The 18,921-nt window shown below is 46.8% G+C and overlaps 1 protein-coding gene across 10 annotated transcripts in view, besides 1 other annotated feature; it reads left to right on the top strand.

Moving 5' to 3' along the window:
* The window catches only part of QRICH1 (glutamine rich 1), a 64,667-nt gene that overhangs the window by 20,405 nt on the left and 25,341 nt on the right, over window positions 1–18,921 (top strand). For all 10 annotated transcript variants that reach the window (NM_001320584.1, NM_001320585.1, NM_198880.3 and 7 more), the window contains one exon: window positions 16,079–17,107. In NM_001320584.1, coding sequence (NP_001307513.1) covers window positions 16,079–17,107 — 1,029 coding nt within the window. The remainder of the gene's footprint in view (window positions 1–16,078; window positions 17,108–18,921) is intronic.
* Window positions 13,734–14,233: an enhancer, noted in NCBI's record as "H3K4me1 hESC enhancer chr3:49097169-49097668 (GRCh37/hg19 assembly coordinates)". NCBI's record gives its function as "activates a minimal SCP1, AML or CMV promoter by ChIP-STARR-seq in primed H9 embryonic stem cells {active_cell/tissue: H9 hESC(primed)}" and the evidence as "EXISTENCE:reporter gene assay evidence [ECO:0000049][PMID:30033119]".

The raw sequence follows: 18,921 nt of genomic DNA, 5'->3' as shown, positions 1-18,921 counted from the left end.
TCTACAAAAAATAAAAAAAAATTACCCAGGGATGGTATGTACTTGTAGTCCCAGCTATTTGGGAAGCTGAGGTGGGAGGATTGCTTGAGCCCAGGAGGTTAAAACCAGCCTGGGCAACATGGTGAAACCCTGTTTCTACCAAAAATAAGAAAAAATTAGCTGGGTGTGGTGATGCACGCCTATGGTCTTAGCTACTAGGGAGGCCGAGATGGGAGAATCGCTTGAGCCTGGGAGGTGGAGGTTACAGTGAGCTGAGATCGTGCCACTGCACTCCAGCCTGGGTGACAGAGTGAGATCCCATCTCAAAAAAAATAAAAATAAAAATTGTAAGGCACAAAAAAATAATGCTAATTGATGATAAACTTTCTGAAAGACGAGAAACTAGTACATTTGTTGAGAAGGTAAAATGTTTTCCTTTTTTTTTTTTTCGAGATGGAGTCCCACTGTGTCACCCAGGCTGGAGAGCAGTGGCGTGATCTCAGCTCACTGCAACCTCTGCCTCCTGGGTTCAAACGATTCTCCTGCCTCAACCTCCTGAGTAGGTGGGATTCCAGGCACCTGCCACTGTGCCGGCTAATTTTTGTATTTTTAGTAGAGACAGGGTTTCACCATGTTGGTCAGGCTGGTCTTGAACTTCTGATCTCAGGTGATCCACCGGCCTTGGCCTCCAAAGTACAGGTGTGATCCACCGTGCCTGGCCAAAGTTTTCCTCTTTAGAGGTCTTTATGTGAGATAACAGGCTCCTCTAGTTGCAAATGCAGTTTTCTTGCCATTGTCTATTATGGTTTAATTTCATTGTATTCTGGAAGTCTTTTTATACTAAGAGGATAGGAAAGGGACTGAAACATGCTGGAGAGGCAGGAGTATGGAGAGGTGTGCCTGGTGAGATAGAAGGTTTCCCTTTCCTTCATTTTTTCTGTTTTTTTTTTAAGAGACAGGATTTCACTTGCCCAGGCTGGAGTGCTGTGACATGATCATGGCTCACTGCAGCCTCTACCTCCTGGGCTCAGGTGATGCTCTCACCTCAGCCTCCCGAGTAGCTAGGACTACAGGTGCGTGCCACCATGCCCAGCTAATTTTTTCATTTTTGGTAGAGATGGACTCTCGCCATGTTGCTCAGGCTGGTGTTGAACTCCTGGCCTCCAGCAGTCCTCATGGCTCAGCCTCCCAAAGTGCTGGGATTATAGGCATGAGCCACTGTTCCCAGCTGAAGTAGGTTTCACTGTAGCTCCTCAAAAATGCAGACGAGTATATTGGAAGGACATAGCCTCTGAAGCTTCAGTACTGGGTTTAAATTTGACTTGACCACTCAATTGTTGGCATGAGCTTATTAATCTTTACCTCCAGTTTGTTCATCAGTTAAATAAGGATAATACCATTTAATGAGACTGAATAAGATAATAAAGTATCTGGCATATGGAGAGTTTTTTTTTTTTTGTAATGGAGACAGGGTCTCATTCTGTCACCTAGGTTGGAGTGCAGCGGTATGATCTTGGCTCACTGCAACCCCAGCCTCCCAGGCTCAAGCAATCCTCCCACCTCAGCCTCCCGAGTACATGGGACCACAGGCGCACACCACCAACACCTGCCTAATTTTTTGTATTTTTGATAGAGCCAGAATTTCACCATGTTGCCCAGGCTGAGATTTACTCATTTTTTATCTTTATATTTATTTACTTACTTTTTGAGACAGAGCCTCACTCTGTTGCCCAGACTAGAGTGCAGTGGCATTATTTTGGCTCACTGCAACCTCCATCTCTGGGGTTCAAGCTAGCACGCCCGACTAATTTTTATATTTTTAGTAGAGATGGGGTTTCACCATGTTGGCTAGGGTGGTCTTGAACTCCTGACTTTAAGTGATCTGCCAACCTCGGCCTCCCAAAGTGCTGGGATTGTAGGCATGAGCCACCACGCCCAGCCTTGTTTTGTCTTTGTAAGGAAGAAAAGGTACAGGAAAGGTTAAGTAAAAGAAGGCTGGCCCAGGCATGGTGGCTCACACCTGTAATCCCAGCACTTTGGGAGGCTGAGGTGAGTGGATTCCTTGAGCCTAGGAGTTTGAGACCAGCCTGGGCAACATGGCGAAATCCTGTCTGTACAAAAGTACAAAAATTAACTGGGTATGGTGGCTTGCTTGTGTGATCCCAGGTACTGGGGAGGCTGAAGTGGGAGGATCACCTGAACCTGGGAGGTCATGGTTGCAGCGAGCTGTGATTGTGCCACTGCACTCTAGCCTTTTACACTAAGGACAGGAAAGGTGTCTCAAAAAAAGAGAAAAGAAGTCTGATTTTCTGGCTCAAATTATTCTGCTGTTTTTTACAGCTTTGACCTCCTCTTCCTTACCACGCCTGGCCAATTTTTGTACTTTTTTCAGTAGAGGTGGGGTTTCATTCACCATGTTGGACAGACTGGTCTTGAACTCCTGACCTTAAACGATTCACTTGCCTCAGCCTCCCAAAGTGCAGGCATGAGCCATTGCACCTGGCCCCTAGGCTGGTCTTGGGACTCCTGAGTTCAGCTGAGCCACCCACTTTGTGGGTGTTTGGATTACAAATACAAAGTGTTTGGATTACAGGCACAAGCCATTACACCTGGCCCCGCTTTCTCATAAGATTAAAGAGTTTGGGGCTGGGTGCGGTGGTTCATGCCTGTAATCCCAGCACTTTGGGAGGCCGATCAGGAGATTGAGACCATCCTGGCTAACACAGTGAAACTCCGTCTCTACTAAAAATACAAAAAATTAGCCAGGCCTGGTGGCGGGTGCCTGTAGTCCCAGCTACTCGGGAGGCTGAGGCAGGAGAATGACGTGAACCCGGGAGGTGGAGCTTGCAGAGAGCCAGGGTCACACCACTGCACTCCAGCCTGGGCGATAGAGCAAGAGTCTGTCTCAAAAAAAAAAAAAAGTTTGGGGATTTAAGTTTGGAGTGTTTTTTGAGACTTTATGTTCAAGATAAACTGATGAATGCTTGAACTTGGAAGGTAGAGGTTGCAGTGAATCAAGATCACACCACTGCACCACAGCCTGGGTGACAGAGCAGACTCTGTCTCAGAAGAAAGAAAAGCCACTGACCGAGATCACTATTAACGTTCGTCTTTCTCCCTAAACTCTATGTAAATGAAAGAAGAAACAAATATAATGACATCCATGAGATAGATTCAGTGTGATAGAATCATAAGAATGTATGTTTTCCCTAAGTGACTAAAAAGATACTTTTAAAAAATAAAGAATTCTGGCCAGGCCAGGCATGGTGGCTCACACTTGTAATCCCAGCTGTTTGGGAAGCTGAAGTATGTAGATGACTTGAGCCCAGGAGTTTGAGACCAGGCTGGGAAACATGGTAAAACCTCATCTCTACAGAAAAACACAAAAATTAGTTTGGCATGGTGGTGTGCACTTGTAGTCCCAGCTACTCAGAAGGCTGAGGAACTCCTTGGGCCCAGGAGTTCGAAGTTGCAGTGAGCTGTGATCACGCCACTGCACTCCATCCTGGGCAAAAGTGCAAGACCCTGTCTCTATAAAAAACAGAACAACAAAGCATTTTTAAGAGTGTTGGAAAAAATGAATACCATTTAAAAACCACTAAATCTAAGAAATTGATAAAAGAGAATAAGTAGACAGAATTAGGTGATGAAAGGCCAGGCGTGGTGGCTCATGCTTGTAATCCCAGCACCTTGGGAGGCTGAGGCAGGCGGATCACCTGAGGTCAGGAGTTTGAGACCAGCCTGGCCAACATGGTGAAACCTCATCTCTGCTAAAAAATACAAAAATCAGCCGGGCATGTTGGCAGGTGCCTATAGTCCCAGCTATTCGGAGGCTAAGGCAGGAGAATTGCTTGAACCTGGGAAGCCAAGGTTGCAGTGAGCTGAGATCGTACCATTGCACTCCAGACTGGGCAATGTGAGCGAAACTCTGTCTCCAAAAAAAAAAAAAAATTTGGTGACAAATGCGTGTAGGAAAGAACTTTTGGGGAAAGTGGGGCAGTTCTTAGAGTGCCCTAAGCTGAGAAGTAGAGGATACACAGAGTAGAGGTCCACTGGGGTAGCTTTAGAACTAAAGGTTGGGAATTGACTAGAGACTTCAAAACACACACATACACATATGTATACTTACAGCTCACATTACCTTGATGAGCAAGTTAGAGATACATTAGTTTGATGATAATTGTTACTGCTCTTTTGAGTAAGAATCATAGGCTGGGTGCAGTGGCTCATACCTGTAATCTCAGTACTTTGGGAGGCTGAGGCAGGAGGATCCTTTGAGTTCAGGAATTCAAGACCAGCCTGGGCAACATAGTGAGACTTTGTCTGTACTAAAAATAAAATTAGCCAGATGTAGTGGTACACACCTGTAATCCCAGCTACTGAAGAGGCTGAGGTGGAAGGATCGCTTGAGAATACTTTATCTCAAAAAAAAAAAAAAAAAAAAAATTCCCCCCCATGGATCTGTATTTTCGCCAGCCTTTTAGAGTGCTCTTTGTGGTCCCCTCGCCCACACAGATTATCAACTATTAATGCAAGTTATAAGTGTAATTGGAGGAAACGTCCTTTTTTTCTGTAAAAAATAATTTTCAGCTGTGTGTGGTGGCTCATGCCTCTAATCCCAGCACTTTGGGAGGACAAGGCGGGTGGATCACGAGGTCAGGAGTTCAAGATCAGCCTGGCCAAGATGGTGAAACCCCGTCTCTACTAAAAATACAAAAAAGTAGCCAGGTGTGGTGGTGGGCACCTGTAATCCCAGCTACTCGGGAGGCTGAGGCAGAGAATTGCTTGAACCCGGGAGGCGGAGGTTGCTGTGAGCCAAGATTGCGCCACTGCACTCCAGCCTGGGCGACAGAACAAGACTATCTCAAAAAAAAAAAAAAAATAATAATAATAATAATAATAATAAATTTTCTACTTGAGGCTTTTTTGCCTTATTCAAGTAGTTCTAAAAGTCTTATCACAAATTTCTAACCTACAGGATGCTAGAGAGATGGTTTGTGCTATATGATACCTGCAAGAGTAGTTTTATTCCTTTCTACTTTAAATTTTAGCCAAGTTTGGCCGGGTGTGGTTGCTCATGCCTGTAATCCCAGCATTTTGGGAGGCCAAGGTGAGTGGATTGCTTGAGCTCAGGAGTTCTAGACCAGCCTAGGCAACATGGCAAAACTCCCATCTCTACCAAAAATACAAAAAATTGGCCAGGCATGGTGGTGCATGACTGTGATCCCAGCTACTCAGGAGGCTGAGGCTGGAGGATCACTTGAGCCCAGGAAGCGGAGGTTGCAGTGAGCCGAGATCGTGCCACTGCACTCTAGCCTGGGCAATAGAGCACAGACCCCATCACAAAAAAAAAAAGAAAGAAATTTTAGCCAAGCTTGGCTCTGTCATCCATGCTGGAGTGCAGTGGCATGATCACGGCTCGCTGCAGTCTGGACTTCCTGGGCTCAAGTGATCCTCCTGCTTCAGTCTCCTGAGTAGCTTGGACTACAGCTACTACGCCCAACTAATTTTTTTTTTTTTTTTAATTTTTTTGAGACGGAGTCCTGCTCTGTCACCCAGGCTGGAATGCAGTGGTGTGATCAGAGGCTCACTGCAACTTCAACCTCCCATGCTTAAGGGATCCTCCCACCTCAGCCTCCTGAGTAGCTGGGACTATAGGCTACAGAGTAGAGTGGCACAATCATAGCTCAGTGCAGCCTTGAACTCCTGGGCGCAATTGATCCTGCCATTTCAGCCTCTGGAGTGGCTGGGACTACAGGCATGCACCACCACGCCTGGCTAATATTTTTACTTTTTGTGGAGAGAGGGGTGTTGCTATGTTGCCTAGGCTGGCCTCAAACTCCTGGCCTCAAGTGATCCTCCTGCCATAGCCTCCTGATTTAGGATTACAGGCATGAGCACAGCACTTAGCACCTCATTTCATTTTAATTTCAAGTAAAATGTAATACTTTTTTTTAAAAAAGGTGTTGAGAGTTGTTATATCTGAATGAAAGAATTGTGGGTTGTTTTTTTTGTTTGTTTCCAAATTTTTTTTTTTTTGAGACGGAGTCTCGCTCTATCGCCTGGGCTGGAGTGCAGTGGCATGATTTAGGCTCACTGCAACCTCTGCCTCCTGGGTTCAAGTGGTTCTCCTGCCTCCGCCTTCTGAGCTAATTTTTTTTGTATTTTTAGGAGAGACAGGGTTTTACCATGTTGGTTGGCCAGGATGGTCTCAATCTCTTGACCTCGTGATCCGCCTGCCTTGGCCTCCCAAAGTGCTGGGATTATAGGCCTGAGCCACCGCGCCTGGCCTTTTGCCAGATTCTTAATATGATTATTTAGTAATTTTCTACCCAGTGAAAAAGCTTGGCTCTTATATAAATTAAAAAAATTGAAGGGAAGTAATATAAATAACATTTAATTTCTTTTTTGTTTTTTTTTTCGAGACAGAGTTTTGCTCTTTCACCTAGGCTGGAGTGCAGTGGTGCTATCTCGGCTCACTGCAAGCTCCGCCTCCTGGAATCACACCATTCTCCTGCCTCAGCCTCCCAAGGAGCTGGGACTACAGGTGCCCACCACCACACCCAGCTAATTTTTTTGTATTTTTAGTAGAGACGGGGTTTCACCATGTTAGCCAGGATGGTCTTGATCTCCTGACCTTGTGATCTGCCTACCTTGGCCTCCCAAAGTGCTGGGATTACAGGCGTGAGCCACCGCACCCAGCCGTTAAATTTACTCTTAACTCTTATTCCCCTAATTTTAAATTCTTACTATTTTGGATATAAAGTGACATCAGATTATTTGTAATTTTGTTTATTTCTGGAGTGACGGACAGGTGCCACCACTTAGGAGGTGGATTGGGAGGTTCTAACTCCCTAGTATTTCTGCTAACAATAGCCATTAGCCACATTAGCCATTTAATTGTTTATTTTGGAAGCTTGAGCATTGATAAGTAATTTCTCTCTCTCTTTTTTTTTGAGACAGAGTCTCTGTCGATGAGGCTGGAGTGCAGTGCCATGTTCTCGGCTCACTGCAACCTCCGCCCCCCAGGTTCAAGCTATTGTCCTACCTCAGCCTCCTGAGTCGCTGGGATTACAGGTGCACACCACCACGTCTGGGTAATTTTTGTATTTTTATTAGAGACGGGGTTTAACCATGTTGGCCAGGCTGGTCTCGAACTCCTTACCTCAGGTGATCCACCTGCCTTGGCCTCCCAAAATGCTAGGATTACAGGCATGACCCACCTCACTTGGCCTTTTAAATGATTTCTAAGAAAAATCAATTGATCAGATAATAACTCATTTTAAAAGAAGAAAAATCATCTGGGTGCAGTGGCTCATGCCTTTGTGAAACCTTGTCTCAACTAAAAATAAGAAAATTAGCCAGGCACGGGTGGCAGGTGCCAGTAATCCCAGCTACTCAGGAGGCTGAGGCAGGAGAATTGCTTGAACCCGGGAGGAGGAGGTTGCAGTGAGCCAAGATTGCGCCACTGCATTCCAGCCTAGGCGACAGAGTGAGACTCTTGCCTCAACAAAAAAAAAAAAAGAAAAGTAAAGTAAATTAAGAAATACAGTAAAGCATGAAGCATATGAGCTATGATTCAGTGATAGTAACCAGATTTTTGACATTTTGTTTTAAGCAAGCCGTATTATAATTTAAAAACATACTATGTGTTTAACCCAATAGTAGTGGTTCTTTTTTTTTCCTTACCCTTATTTTTTTCTGAGATGGAGGTCTCACTGTCACTCATGCCAGAGTACAGTGACATGATCTTGTGTCACTGCAACCTCTGCCTCTTGAGTTCAAGTAGTTCTCCCACCTCAGCCTCCTGAGTCGCTGGGACCACAGTTGGCTCACAACCACGTCTGGCTAATTTTTTTGTATTCTTGGTAGAGACGGGGTTTCACCACATTGCCCAGGCTGGTCTCGAACTCCTGAGCTCAAGCAGTCCACCAGCTTTAGCCTCCCAAAGTGCTGAGGTTACAGGCATGAGCTACCATTCCTGGCCAGAAGTGATTCACAAATGGTAGTTCAAGAGACTCGTAGGGGCCTGTAATCCCAGCACTTTGGGAGGCCAAGGCAGGCAGATCATGAGTTCAGGAGATCGAGACCATCCTGGCTAACACGGTGAAACCCCATCTCTAATAAAAATACAAAACAAAAATTAGCGGGCGTGGTGGCGGGTGCCTGTAGTCCCAGCTACTTGAGAGGCTGAGGCAGGAGAATGGCGTGAACCCGGGAAGTGGAGCTTGCAGTGAGCTGAGATCACACCACTGCACTCCAGCCTGGACGACAGAGGGAGACTCCGTCTCAAAAAAAAAAAAAAGAGAGAGACTCCTGGTAGCCTCCAAGCACCTTTTAGGGTTCCTCAAGGTCAAAGCTGTTTTTATTACAATGCCAATGTATTAATTTGCCTTTTTCACTTTCATTCTCTCCTGACCATGTACTGGAGTTTTGCAGAGGCCATGTGTGATGTATAATAGCACAACAGATTGAGTGCGGAAGCAGATAGGAGAATTCAGCTACCTTATATTAAGTCAGCCATTAAATAGGTTTGCAAAAATGGGTCAGGCGCAGTGGCTTACGCCTGTAATCCTAACACTTTGGGATGCCGAGGTGGGCAGATCACTTTGAGGTCAGGCGTTCGAGAACAGCCTGGCCAACATGGCAAAAACCTGTCTCTACTAAAAATACAAAAATTAGCCGGACATGGTGGCATGCCCCTGTTATCCCAGCTACTTGGGAGGCTGAGGCAGGAGAATTGCTTGAACCCAGGAGGCAAAGGTTGCATTGAGCTGAGTGAGCCAAGATTGCCTCACTGTACTCCAGCCTGGGCAACAGAGTGAGACTCCATCTCCAAAAAAAAAAAAAAGAGGTTTCCAAAAATGTAAAACAATGCAATTCTTATTATAATTATTTTGGCAAATAGTTATTTTTCATGAGAATATGTTATTTATGTTAACATATAATGGCTTTATTTTTGTTTGTTTTTTTCTAGAACAACTCTTGCTCTGTCCCCCAGGCTGGCATGAGTGACACGATCTCCGCTCACTGCAACCTCTGCCTCCTGGGTTCAGGCTGTTCTCCTGTCTCAGCCTCCTGATTAGCTGGGATTACAGGCATGCACCACCACACCTGGCTAGTTTTTGTATTTTTAGGACAGACAGGGTTTCACCATCTTGTCCAGGCGGGTCTCGAACTCCTGACCTTATGTGACCCTGCCTGCCTTGGCCTCCCAAAGTGCTGAGATTATACGCATGAGCCACTGCATCTGGCTTTATCTGATTTTTAATTAATTTTTTTTGTTTTAGTATAGACGGGGTTTCACCGTGTTAGCCAGGATGGTCTCGATCTCCTGACCTTGTGATCCACCCACCTTGGCCTCCCAAAGTGCTGGGATTACAGGTGTGAGCCACTGCGCCCAGCATGGTTTACAATTTTTTAAATTCCTAGTTTTGGGCCAGGCGTGGTGGCTCATGCCTGTAATCTCAGCACTTTGGGAGGATGCGGTAGGTGGATTGCTTGAGGATATGAGTTCAAGACCAGGTTGGCCAACATGGGGCAACCCCATCTCTACTAAAAATACAAAAACAAACAAAAAAACAGCCAGGCATGGTGGTGGGCACCTATAATCCCAGCTACTCGGGAGGCAGAGGTTAAGAGAATCGCTTGAACCCGGGAAGACAAAGTTGTACTTCCAAGATCACACCACTGCACTCCAGCCTGGGCGATAGACTGAGACTCTTGTCTCCAAAAAAAAAAAAAAAAAAAAAAAATTAGGGCCAGCCATGGTGGCTCACGCCTATAATCCCAGCACTTTGGGAGGCCGAGGCAGGCGGATCACCTGAGGTTGGGAGTTTGAGACCAGCCTGACCAACATGGAGAAACTCCATCTCTACTAAAAATATAAAAAACAAAAAACAACAACAAAAGAAAACCAGCCAGGCATGGTGGCGCATGCCTGTAATCCCAGCCACTCAGGAGGCTGAGGCAAGAGAATCGCTTGAACCCGGGAGGCAGAGGTTGCGGTGAGCTGAGATGGCACCATTGCACTCCAGCCAGGGCAACAGAGTGAAACTCCATCTCAAATAAAAAAAGAATTAAAAAATTAAATTCCTAGTTTTAATTTAGAGTACAAGTAAATATTACTAGATATAACCTATGTAAACAAGTTCTTTTGGGTCTTCAATATTTTTTGGCCAAATTCAAGTTTTTTGGTGTTAGAGTTTCACTTTGTTGTCCAAGCTGGAGTACAGTGGCACGTGCCGTTCATAGTTCACTGCAGCCTCAATCTCCTGGGCTCAAGTAGTCTTCCTTCCTCAGCCTCCCAGGTAGCTGAGACTACAGGTGTGTGTCCACGCCCAGGTAATTTTTAAAATTTTTTGTAGAGATAGGGGTGTCACTATGTTGCCCAGGTTGATCTCGAACTCCTGGGCTCAAGCAGTTTTCCTGCCTTGGCCTCCCAAAGTGCTGGGATTACAGGCATGACCACGATGCCCAGCCCCAAATTCAGGCTTTGACTAAGAAATCTTGAAAACTGCTGTTCTGCAGTAATTGGCTACATAGTTTCCTCTTATGTCTTTGGCATATAGCCCTAGTTCTTAAATTTGACCATGTAATTACACTGGAGGACTTGATAAAACCACTTCTTAGAATTTCAGAGTTAGTAGGTCTGGAGTGGTACCTGACAATTTGTATTTCTGAGTGCCTGGATGCTGCTGCTGCTGTTGGCATGGAAACTACATTTTGAGAACCACTGGTGCAAGGAAATAATATTTTACTTCATGGAGAGAAATAATAAACCTACTTATTTGAACACCTATTATCTGTAACTAAATATTATTTTATGTTTAAAACACTGTAGGGAAGTAGACATTCTCCCCTTTTATACTTACTGTACCTAAAGAAACTGTTTAGAGGTTAAATTTCCCCATGGATTCACAGGCAGAAAAGTGCAGCATCAATTCACATTGAAGTCTGTGATCTCAAAACCTGAGCCTTTTTTTTTTTTGAGACGGAGTCTCGTTCTGTCACCCAGGCTGGAGTGCAGTGGCGCGATCTTGGCTCACTGCAAACTCCGCCTCCCAGGTTCACGCCATTCTCCTGTCTCAGCCTCCCGAGTAGCTGGGACTACAGGCACCCGTCACCACGCCTGGCTAATTATTTTAATAGAAATGGGGTTTCACCATGTTAGCCAGGATGGTCTTGATCTCCTGACCTCATGATCCGCCTGCCTCGGCCTCCCAAAGTGCTGGGATTACAGGTGTGAGCCACAGCGCCCGGCCTTTTTTTAAAAAATATACTTAGTAACAGCTTTATTGAGATATAAGTTACCCATTTGAAATGTATAATTCAGGCACACTGGCTCACACATGTAATCCCAGCACTTTGGGAGGCCAAGGCAGGTGGATCACTTGAGGTTAAGAGTTTGAGACCAGCCTGGCTAACATGGTGAAACCCTGTCTGTGCTAAAAATGCAAAATTTAGCTGGGCATGGTGATGCGTGCCTGTAATCCTAGCTACTCAGGAGGCTGAGGCAGGAGAATTGTTTGAACCAGGGAGGCGGAGGTTGCAGTAAGCTGAGATTCCACCACTGGGCAACAGGGCAAGACTTTACCTCCCAAAAAAAAAAAAAAAAGCGACTACACCAATTTTTTCTTGTTTTTTTTTTTTTCTGAGATGGAGTCTCACTCTGTCCTTGACTGGGCTGGGTATAGTGGCGCCATCTCGGCTCACTAGCTTCCACCTCCCAGGTTCAGGCAATTTTGCTGCGTCAGCCTTCCGAGTAGCTGGGATTACAAGCATGTGTAACCACGCCCAGCTAATTTTTGTATTTTTAGTAGAGACAGGGTTTCACCATGTTGGCCAGGCTGGTCTGGAACTCCTGACCTTGTGTCCACTGGCCTCAGCCTCCCAAAGTGCTGGGATTACAGGTGTGAGCCACCGCATCTGGCCAACTACACCAATTTAACATGCCCACCAGCAGTTTCAAGTTGTCTATATCCTTACCTATACTTGTTATCTGTCTTTTTTAGATATAACTTATTAGATATAAAGTGGTTTCTCATTGTGGCTTTGATTGGAATTTCCTTCACAGCTAGTATGATATGGAGCAACTTTTTATGTGGTTCTTGGCCATTTGCATATATTCTTTTTTTTGGGAGATAGTTTCACTCTTGTTGCCCATGCTGTGGTGCAGTGGTGCAATCTCGGCTCACTGCAACCCCCACCTCCTGGGTTTAGTAGTTCACCTGCCTCAACCTCCCAAGTAGCTGGGATTACAGGCATGCACCACCATGCCTGGCTAGTTTTGTATTTTTAGTAGAGACGGGGTTTCACCATGTCGGTCAGGCTGGTCTCAAACTCCTGACCTCAGGTGATCCACCCACCTTGGCCTCCCACAGAGCTGGGATTACAGGCATGAGCAACTGTGCCTGGCCTCATTTTCTGCCTTCTTGTTTTCTACCTTTCTAATTCCTACTTGTGGTTAGGGTAATTTATCTATGTGTCTGATGGTAAAAGCTGTTTTTTAAAAGTTGCATACTATGTATTTTTTTCTTTTCATGCTCTTTTGCATGCTGACATAATAATAAGACAGTAACTGTATTGTTATCAGAAACATGTCATCCAGGTTATGGTAATATTGCTCAGATTAAATTATTGGGATTCTGTTTATTTAAATGCCTTTCCCATTAAACATATGTTAAGTAAGCACTCTAAAGCAGTGGTCCCCAACGTTTTTTGCACCAGGGACTCGTTTTGTGGAAGACAGTTTTCCACAGACATTGATGGGGGTGGTGCTTTGGGATGAAACTGTTTCACCTCACATCATTAGGTGTTAGATTTTTTTTTTTTTTTTTTTTTTTTTTTTTTTTTAAGATGGAGGCTCACTCTGTCACCCAGGCTGTGATGCAGTGGTGCTCTCTCTGCTCACTTCAACTTCCGCCTCCTGGGTTCAAGCTATTCTGCCTCAGCCTCTCAGGTAATTGGGATTACAGGCATGCACCACCATGCCTGGATAATTTTTTATATTTTTAGTAGAAGTAGAGGTGGGGTTTCACCATGTTGGCCAGGCTGGTCTTGAACTCCTGGCCTCAAGTGATCTGCCCTCCTCAGCCTCCCAAAGTACTGGGATTACAGGTGTGAGCCAATGCACCTGGCCAGGCATTAGATTCTAATAAGGAGCATGCAGCCTAGATACCTCACATTTGCAGTTCACGATAGGGTTTGTGCTCCTACAAGAGTCTAATGCCACCATTGATCTGACAGGAGGTGGAGCTCAGGTGGTAATGCTCACCTCTGTGCTGTGTCGTTCGCCTACGGACCAGTACTAGTCCTTGGCCCCAGGGTTGGGGACTTCTGCCCAAAAAATCAGGCTGGGGGCTGGGTATGGTGGCTCACGCCTATAATCCCAGCACTTTGGGAGGCCAAGGCTGGTGGATCACCTGAGGTCAGGAGTTTTGGACCAGCCTGGCCAACATGGTGAAACCCCGTCTCTACTAAAAATACAAAAATTAGGGCTGGGTGTGGTGGCTCACACCTGTAATCCCAGCACTTTGGGAGGCCAAGGCAGGCAGATCACGAGGTCAGGAGATCAAGACCATCCTGGCTAACACGGTGAAACCCTGTCTCTAATAACAATACAAAAAATTAGCCAGTCGTGGTGGCGGGTGCCTGTGGTCCCAGCTACTTGGGAGGCTGAGGCAGGAGAATGGCATGAACCTGGGAGGCGGAGCTTGCAGTGAGCTGAGATCACACCACTGCACTCCAGCCTGGGCGACAGAGCGAGACTTGGTCTCAAAAACATATATATGTATATATAAATTAGGTCTGGGCGTGGTGGCTCACGCCTGTAATCCCAGCACTTTGGGAGGCCGAGGTGGGCGGATCATGAGGTCAGGAGATCAAGACCATCCTGGCTAACACGGTGAAACCCTGTCTCTACTAAAAATAAAAAAATCAGCCGGGCGTGGTGGCACGCACCTGTAGTCCCAGCTACTCGGGAGGCTGACACAGGAGAATCGCTTGAACCGGGGAAGTGGAGGTTGTAGTGAGCCGAGATCGCACCACTGCACTCTAGCCTGGGCGATAGAGCGAGACTCCGTCTCAAAAAAAAAAAAAAAAAGTTAGCTGGATGTGATGGCAGGCACATGTAATCCCAGCTACTTGGGAGGCTAAGGCAGGAGAATAGCTTGAATCCGGGATGCAGAGGTTACGGTGAGCCGTGACTACCATATCACTCCAGCCTGGGGAACGAGCGAAACTCCATCTCAGAAAATAAATAAATAAGGCTAGGCATGGTGGCTCAAGCCTGTAATCCCAGCACTTTGGGAGGCCAAGGTGAGCGGATCACAAGGTCAAGAGATCGAGACCATCCTGGCCAACCAACATGGTGAAACCTCGTCTCTACTAAAAATACAGAAATTAGCTGGGGGTGGTGGCATGCGTCTGTAGTCCCAGCTACTCAGGAGGCTGAGGCAGGAGAATAGCTTGAACCCAGGAGGCGGAGGTTGCAGTGAGCTGAGATCATACTACTGCACTCCAGCCTGGTAACAGCGAGACTCTGTCTAAAAAAAAAAAAAAAAAATTAGCTGGGTGTGGTGGTGGTGTTCCTGTAGTTCTAGCTATTTAGCAGGCTGAGGTGGGAGGATCACTTGAGGAGTTTGAAGTTTAAAGTGCCCTATCATCTTATCACGGTACTCTAACCTGGGCAACAGAGCAAGACCCTATCTTTAGAGAAAAAAACGGTCCCTTGTGATGGCTCACGCCTGTAATCCCAGCACTTTGGGAGGCCAAGGCGGGCGGATCACGAGGTCAGGAGATGGAGACCATCCTGGCTAACATGGTGAAATTCCATCTCTACTAAAAATACAAAAAAAAAATTAGCCGGGTGTGGTGGCAGGCACCTGTAGTCCCAGCTACCCGGGAGGCTGAGGCAGGAGAATGGCGTGAACCCGGGAGGCGGAGCTTGCAGTGAGCTGAGATGGCACCACTGCACTCCAGCCTGGGCGACAAAGCGAGACTCCGTCTCAAAAAAAAAAAAAAAAAAGAGTGAAACTCCATTTCAAAAACAATTTTTAAAATGCTGGCCGTGGTGGCTCACGCCTGTAATCTCAACAGTTTTGGAGGCCAAGGTGGGCGGATCACTTGAGGTCGGGAGTTCGAGACCAGCCTGACCAACATGGAGAAATCCTGTCTCTACTAAAAATGCAAAATCAGCTGGGCATGGTGATGCATTCCTGTAATCCTAGCTACTCAGGAGGCTGAGGCAAGAGAATTGCTTGAACCCAGGAGGTTGAGGTTGCAGTGAGCCAAGATCATGCCACTGCACTCCAGCCTGGGCAACAAGAGCAAAACTCCGCCTCAAAGAAAATGGAAATAAAAATGCCGGCCGTTTCGGCTCACACCTGTAATCCCAGCACTTTGGGAGGCCGAGGTGGGTGGACCAGTTGAGGTCAGGAGTTCAAGATTAGCTTGGCCAACATGGTGAAACCTCGTCTCTACTAAAAATACAAAAATTAGCTGGGTATGGTGGCACATGTCTATAATCCCAGATACTCGGGAGGCTGGCTTCAAGAATTGCTTGAGCCTGAGAGGTGGAGATTGCAGTGAGCTGAGATGGCACCACTGCATTCCAGCCTGGGCGACACAATGAGAATTTGGGGAAAAAAAAAAAGAACCAAAGTTTTGATATTTCCTTGTTAGACTCCAGCATGTCTGTAATCCCAGCTACTCTAGGAAGCTGAGGCAGGAGAATCGCTTGATCCCAGCAGGCGGAGGTTGCAGTGAGCTGAGATTGCGCCACTGCATTCCAGCCTGGGCGACAGAGCGAGTCCATCTTAAAAAAAAAAAATTTTTTTTTTTGGTATTTCCTTTTTAGGCCCCAGTTAATTGTCTTGCTTGCTCTCTGGGGTGGATATATGTCCCTGTTATTGTAATGTGCTGCTGGACAATCCTGGATCTAGTCTTACGTATTGTGTCCTTCTCAGAAGCCTTGAGTATGCCAGTGTTTTCTCACATTTTGCAGGTCCCCTGTCTGGGATCTCTTTTCTTTCTTTCCTTGGGTACTGGATTTTCAGTGCTGCCTGGTTCACTCACTGATGAATCTTGTTGCTTACAGGTCCAGGTGCAGGTACAGCAGTCTCCGCAACAGGTCTCGGCTCAGCTCTCCCCACAACTCACCGTTCACCAGCCTACTGAGCAACCCATCCAGGTCCAGGTGCAGATCCAAGGCCAGGCACCACAGTCAGCAGCCCCCTCCATTCAGACCCCGTCTCTGCAGAGTCCCAGTCCCTCGCAGCTGCAAGCAGCTCAGATCCAGGTGCAGCACGTGCAAGCAGCCCAGCAGATCCAGGCTGCAGAAATCCCGGAGGAGCACATCCCACATCAGCAAATCCAGGCTCAGCTGGTGGCTGGCCAGTCTCTTGCTGGTGGTCAGCAGATCCAAATCCAGACCGTGGGTGCCCTTTCCCCACCACCATCCCAGCAGGGCTCACCCCGGGAAGGGGAGCGGCGGGTTGGCACGGCCAGTGTCCTCCAACCAGTGAAGAAGCGCAAAGTGGACATGCCCATCACTGTGTCCTACGCCATCTCAGGGCAGCCGGTGGCCACCGTGCTGGCCATTCCACAGGGCCAGCAGCAGAGTTATGTGTCTTTGAGGCCAGACTTACTGACAGTAGACAGTGCCCACCTGTACAGTGCCACTGGGACCATTACTAGCCCTACAGGAGAAACCTGGACCATCCCTGTTTATTCTGCCCAGCCCCGGGGGGACCCTCAGCAGCAGAGCATTACCCACATTGCCATTCCCCAGGAAGCCTACAACGCAGTTCACGTCAGTGGCTCACCCACAGCCCTGGCAGCTGTTAAGCTGGAGGATGACAAGGAGAAGATGGTGGGCACCACATCTGTAGTGAAAAACTCCCATGAAGAGGTAGTGCAGACCCTTGCAAACTCTCTCTTTCCAGCACAGTTCATGAATGGCAACATCCACATTCCAGTGGCTGTGCAGGCTGTGGCAGGCACGTACCAGAATACGGCTCAAACTGTCCATATATGGGACCCCCAACAGCAGCCGCAGCAGCAAACTCCCCAGGAACAGACACCACCACCACAGCAGCAGCAGCAGCAACTCCAAGTTACTTGTTCAGTAAGTGAAGACTTATCAGTAGGGCAGGCAGCCTGGTCCCTCAGGGCCCAGTGCAGCACAGAGCTTGCCTCGCAACCTCTGGCTTATTTACTGCTGTTACTCTTACAGTGATGCAGTATTTAGTATTTGGGAGAAGAGGGGGAGAAACATCACGTGAGGCTATGCAACAGAAAAAAGAGTTTATCCTGGTACCTGGAGGTAAATGAGATGGCCAGGAATTGCTTTGGAGTTTTGGAGACATTTTGGGTTTAAGTACCATGGACACTTCTTTGTAATCTCTTCTCAGGAAGAGTAAAGTTACAGGTGTAGATGAATGGGACACCTCAAGTGTGTCCCAGTGCTGTTTCCTTGTATCATAAGTAAATGGTTTTAGCAAAACACTTGTAGTTTATCACATAGATTACAAACTCATCACTGGAGAGGCTGTGAGATTGTTCATTCTGTTTTTCATCTTTGGGCACACAGTGTGGGTGAATTAGAAAAGCTAAAATAACTCATAAGGAGCCTGTTAAAAGTGATCACCATTGGGAGGCTTGAATATGCCGTCTATGTGGTGGGACCTCCCAAGAGTTTTTGTGTTACGGGGGCGGCCGGGCGAGGTGGTGCACTTCTGTAATCCCAGCACTTTGGGAGGCCGAGGCAGGCGGATCACAAGGTCAGGAGTTTGAGACCAGCCTGGCCAATATGATGAAACCACGTCTCTACTAAAAATACAAAAATTAGCTGGGCATGGTGGCAGGTACCTGTAATCCCAGCTACTCGGGAGGCTGAGGCAGGAGAATCACTTGAACCCAGGAGGCAGAGGTTGCAGTGAGCTGAGATTGCGCCATTGCATTCCAGCCTGGACAACAGGAGCAAAACTCTGTCAAAAGAAAAAAGTAGGGGCCAGGCACGGTGGCTCATGCATGTTACCCCAGTACTTTGGGAGGCCAAGGCGGGTGAGTCACCAGAGGTCAGGAGTTTGAGATCAGCTTGGCCAACATGGTGAAACCCCGTCTCTACTAAAAATACAAAAATTAGCCGGGTGTGGTGGCACACACCTATAATCCCAGGTAATCCTACTCAGGAGGCTGAAGCAGGAGAATTGCTTGAACCTGGGAAGCAGAGGTTGCAGTGAGCTGAGATCGTGCCACTGCACTCCAACCTGGGGCAACATAGCAAGACTTTGTCTCAAAACAAACAAACAAAAAAACTATTAGTGCTGGGTGCAGTGGCAGTTGCCTGTAATCCCAGCAGTCTGGGAGGCTGAGGTGGGAGGAATGCTTGAGCCCAGGAGTTTGAGATCAGCCTGGGCAATATAGGAAGACCCTATCTCTACAAAAATTTAAAAAATATAGTCTAGTGTGATGGCACATACCTGTGGTCCCAGCGTAGATGCGAGGGTTGCATGAGCCTGGGAGGTTGAGGCTACTATGATCATGCCATTGCATTTCAGCCTAGAGAACAGAGTGAGACCCTGTCTAAAAGAACTGATTGGTAAAATATCTGGTCCCGTTAGAGTGGGATATAGGGCCTCTGGTCTTATGGGACTGATGAAGGTGCTATGCCTCGGTGGGCATAGGCTCCTGAGCATGCATATGTTTGTGGGAGCTGGTACAAACAAGTTAGATAAGGGACTGCACTTGGAAACATGGGCTGTAAGTGATTAATTAAGCAAAGGTTGACCAGGTGGTTTCATAGAGGCAGTATCATATTATCCTAGGTGACATTGTTAAGGACCTGCTAAATATCTAGCTGTTGGGCCTAGAAATAGAATAAGAGAAGGTTTTTTGCTTCATATAGCTTAGAGTCTAGTTGTGAAAAGTAAGAACTCA

Source organism: Homo sapiens, chromosome 3 (genome assembly GCF_000001405.40).
Source record: "Homo sapiens chromosome 3, GRCh38.p14 Primary Assembly".
Classification (NCBI taxonomy): domain Eukaryota; kingdom Metazoa; phylum Chordata; class Mammalia; order Primates; family Hominidae; genus Homo; species Homo sapiens.
This window is presented reverse-complemented; position numbering and strand designations above follow the sequence as displayed.